Below are 4,481 nucleotides of genomic sequence, written 5' to 3' on the forward strand. Positions count from 1 at the left end.
TATTTGTTAAGTGTCTTGTGCAGGCAATGTTCTAGGTACTGGGGGATAAACTCTATGCCTTAATAAAATTTACAGAAAAATATTGAAGAAGGAACTATGAGTGTGAAGAAGATCGTGAAAAGGGAGACAGAGGGAGCACATGGGGGATAATCAACTACAGAACAGGAAAAGCCAACATCAATTCAGGGGTCAGGATGGCCTCCTTCTAGAAGCAATAGTTAAACTGAGGCCTGAAGTGGGAGGAGGACTTGGTCAAGGTTTGAGGGAAGTAAGTGTGTGTGTGTGTGTGTGTGTGTGTGTGTGTGTGTGTATACATACATGTGTGTGTTGATAGAGAGAAGGGTTCGTTCCTGGGGAGGACTTTTTAGGTAGCAAGTTTAGAGGGTGCAGATGACTTAAGGCAAGAATAAGAATGGTGTGTCTGAGGAAATACAAAGTCTAATGTAGCTAGAGCCCAGGGAGTGAGAACAGCTATAATAGTTAGAATGATGAGCAGTATTCCTTTGAAGATGGAAAGGGATTTCTCACTGACTAGGAAATTGTTCCCAGCTGTAGAAGTGGCAGGAAAGGAATCTTATACCTGAGAGCAAGGTCAAAGGAGTGATGAATAGGGTGGGCAAGACAAGGGAAGTTGATGGAAAGGAAACGGATTCAGATGATTGGAGGATTCCAATGAGTGTTTTTGGTGTTTTAAGGTATCAGGACTGGGTGTGAGATGCCTTGAAGAAGTACTCTTGGAACTATGTGATTGGGGTGGGTAGTTCCTTTATTTATGAAAACTAGACCGTAAGCTTACTAAGGGAAGAACCAGGTCTTTTTGTCCACTAACAACACCCCTAAGCTTAATGAGTACTTGGCCAAAAGTTGGCTTTCAATAAATATTTGTTAAATGTGTAAATTAATAAAAAAGACAAATAAAGCATGAGTTATTATCTCGACAATCATCTTGGTTGTACCTTTGGTCAGGTTAGCTTTTCCCTTCTCCTAGGGTTGCTTAGGGACCCTTGGAGGCACTGTAAGTATCCCTGTGCTGCCCAGCTTGATTCCAGAGCTGATCTCATGGGGGCAGGCTTGGACTTCCCAGGTCTGTTTCCATCCTGACCTGAGTCCTTGGAACACACTCTGAGTGCAGAAGTCCAATCATGGAATAATAAAAAGCTTTGTGGTTTAGGGATTTGGCGAGATAGCGAGAAGGTGGTTTGTCACCATGATCCCTTGTAACCTCTCTTATTTCCAGGGCAACCTTGTAGACCCCGTGAATCATATTAGATTATAAAGATGATCAGTTTTTTGAGGAAACCAGTGGCAGGAACTAACATTTTTTGTAGTAATTGACAGTTTCCAGAGTGTACCCTGCTGACAGTTTCTCTGCTTCATTTCACTTTGGTACTATTACCATCTCTCCTGTACTGACAGGAAACTATTGTTTAAAGGTAATTTGCCCAAGGTCACAAAATAGCAAGTCATGAAGACAGGACACATACCCCGTTCTTCAGGAATTTTTTCACTGGTGTTTCAACAAACATCGCGTTTGGAACTTCAGGCAATTTATTTCTGAATTGCTATTTTCCTTGTTTCCTGCTACCAAAGGTGACAGTGAGCTATCCTAGAACAAATGTTCAAAATTATGGCTTTATATTTTACATATGGGAACATAATATTTAAATTTGAAGGATTGAGTTTATAATGCATAATATTTAGCTGTTACAGGAGGTTTATTAAAGAAGTGTACATGCGTAGGAAGGCCTTTTCATGCTTCTCAAGTTTTCTAAGAAAGTATAATATAGTGGAAAAAACACCAACTAGGAGGCAGAAGTCAAGCACAATCCACTTAACATTGTCTCATCTCCTCCTCCACAAAATAGACCTACCATTGTTGCCCCACCTCCTCCAGGGGTTGTTGTGAGGATCAATAGCTAACGTTTTTTTCTGGAAGTTTTTGTAAATTGCATATTACAATGTCTGATACCATGCCTTATGGCTATCCAAGTGTAAAAAAAATGCATAAAAATCTCAACCTGCCTTAAAGAATATTTGTTGAAAATAAAGAGTTTAATTCAGAAGTATCAATATCATGAGCTCTAATTTTCCCATTGGCTAGCTGACCAGGTTACTTAACTTGTTTGTCTTTTTGGTCGCATACATGAGTAATAATAAATGACCTCCCATACCTTTCAGTCATGATGTGTTGACAAATGAGGAAACAAGTTAGAAAAAGCTTTGAGGAAGATTGTGTTGTAGAATTATGACTAGTCTTTCCAGATTCTTCCTGGTGTGCACAGCATATGTTTCTGCAACATCAAAGTTTTGAGGAGAATTCCCCACCCTCTTTCCATGATGACAGGCAATAAGTGGTCCTTTTTCACCTGGGGATCAGGAGAGTAATTCGAATAGATATTCTGAAAGGTCATAGTCATGAGGAGGGATGGGAATTATGTGGGGACAGGCAGGTGACATTTAAGGAATGGACAATTTGTTCTCCCAACAAACAAGGATGGTAGAATAAAATGCATGAGGTAGAGGAGGCAGAATGAAAATATACTTAATTCAGGTATAAGAATTACATAGGAGAGGAGTTAGGACAAGAGAGGGAATTTAGCCAGGACCTGTGTGGTGAAGGGCCTTGACAGGGATAGTAAGTAGTTTAAATTGGTTTTGGAAGGCATGAGGAGCCAAGGAAGGGGCTGATTCCACTAGTGTAATATAATAATAGTATGATAAGCACAGCAGAATGTCACCATGGTGAAATGGGAGAAGAAACAAATGTTAAATGCAGTATATTCTTATAAAGCTTCAATTTGTTGTCATTGCTTTATAAAGAACTTAGTATTTCTCTTCTTTTCCTTCTCTTTGAATAAACTTCCTTTCAGAACAAGGCTCAGAAGTACACTATTGTGATGAAACTTAGTAAAACTGCCTACATGGAATTACACTGGAAGCCCTGTAGTAAGTGGACTATGACCAACCAAAGCTGGAATGGAGATGTTTGAGAGGGACTCACTTCCTGCGTCATCAAACCCCATGGGCTGAGGAACTTTTGTCTAGGCTGCCACAGAAGCCTTCCCTGTTATGTCCTGTGTGTGACTGCTTGTTCCCATCTTCAGTGCCCTCCCTCTCCTCTTCAGGAAGAAGTTCCAGGCAGGCGGTACCTCACTGAGGCCGTGCATGAAGCCTTGACACCCCTCCCTCCCTTGGTCTTGAGCCTGTTAGAAGAATGCTGAGGTTTTGGGCCTCCACCCGGAGGTACCCAGCAGTAACTTCAAGGAGCTAATGAGTAAAGCACAGTAATGAGAATAAATCCCAATGAGCTTATTAAAATAACTGAACCACAACTTTGGCAAGGGCAGGAACCATTGTCTGGAACTTGTTTGTCCATTTGCAGAGTATTGTAGCATGCCTTTGTATATCCCCTCACCCTTTCAGAACAGAGAGATTAGCAACAAAAGACAGATTTTTCAAAGCTACACACAGCCGTGATTTATATCCCGCTCTAGAGACTGTTGGGATGGCTTCTTTGGATTGAAAAGGGTACCAGCCGATCTCTGTTTTAATGGGCCACCTGGGACTTTAGCTGTAGTGTGTGTGTAAAGCAGAAGAACTCTGATCCAACCTCCATCTTTTTTGGAAAGGCTTCTTTGTAATTGCTTTGGACTTTGTGAAATTCTTCTCTCAACAAAAGTAAAAAATGGTTTCAAGTGCTATAACCATTTTATCCTGGGAGTATGTATAACCAACAACATGAAATCCCCAGGTTGCCTTTTTTCATTGCTGGGGTAAAGATAATGTTTGCAGAGCATCTCCCAGGGTTAAGGTACTTTTGGGAACTTTAGATAATTAATATTCTTGGAGGACTTGCATCCTTAGGAGAAGGGGGCTGCAGTTGCGTAGTCTCTAACTGGTTAGTTCCATACAAGTTCCATGTTAATTACACCAAGGTTAGAGGGTGAAAAATCACAGACAAAAATTACAAGTGAAAATACCACCTTGCAGAAGTGTTTGGTGTTATCTACTGTGGTTGAATACATGCTCATACTATGACCCAACATTCGTACTTCTGAGTGTGTACCCAACAGAATTGCACCAAAAGATGTGTACAAGAATGTTCACAGCAGCATTATTCATAATAGCCAAATCCCAGAAACTACACAAATGACCATTGATAGTAGAAACAATAAACAAATTATGGCATTTTTACACAATGGAATAATATAGAGCAGTTAGAATAAAGGATCTGCAGCTAAATACAATGGCATGGATAAATCTCAACAAATATTGTTGAGCAAAAGAAGCCAAGCACAAAAAATTTCACACTGTAGGATCCCATTTATATAAAGTCCAAAAACAGGCTAAACTAGTCTATGGTGTTAGAAGTCAGGAGAGTTTTTACTCTTGGGAGAGGTGCAGTTCCTAGAAAAGAGCACAAGGGAGGCTCCTGGGGTAGTGATTAGAGAGGTTCAGTTTGTGTGTTCAACTTGTGAAAA

This window comes from Homo sapiens, chromosome 1, assembly GCF_000001405.40.
Source record: "Homo sapiens chromosome 1, GRCh38.p14 Primary Assembly".
Classification (NCBI taxonomy): domain Eukaryota; kingdom Metazoa; phylum Chordata; class Mammalia; order Primates; family Hominidae; genus Homo; species Homo sapiens.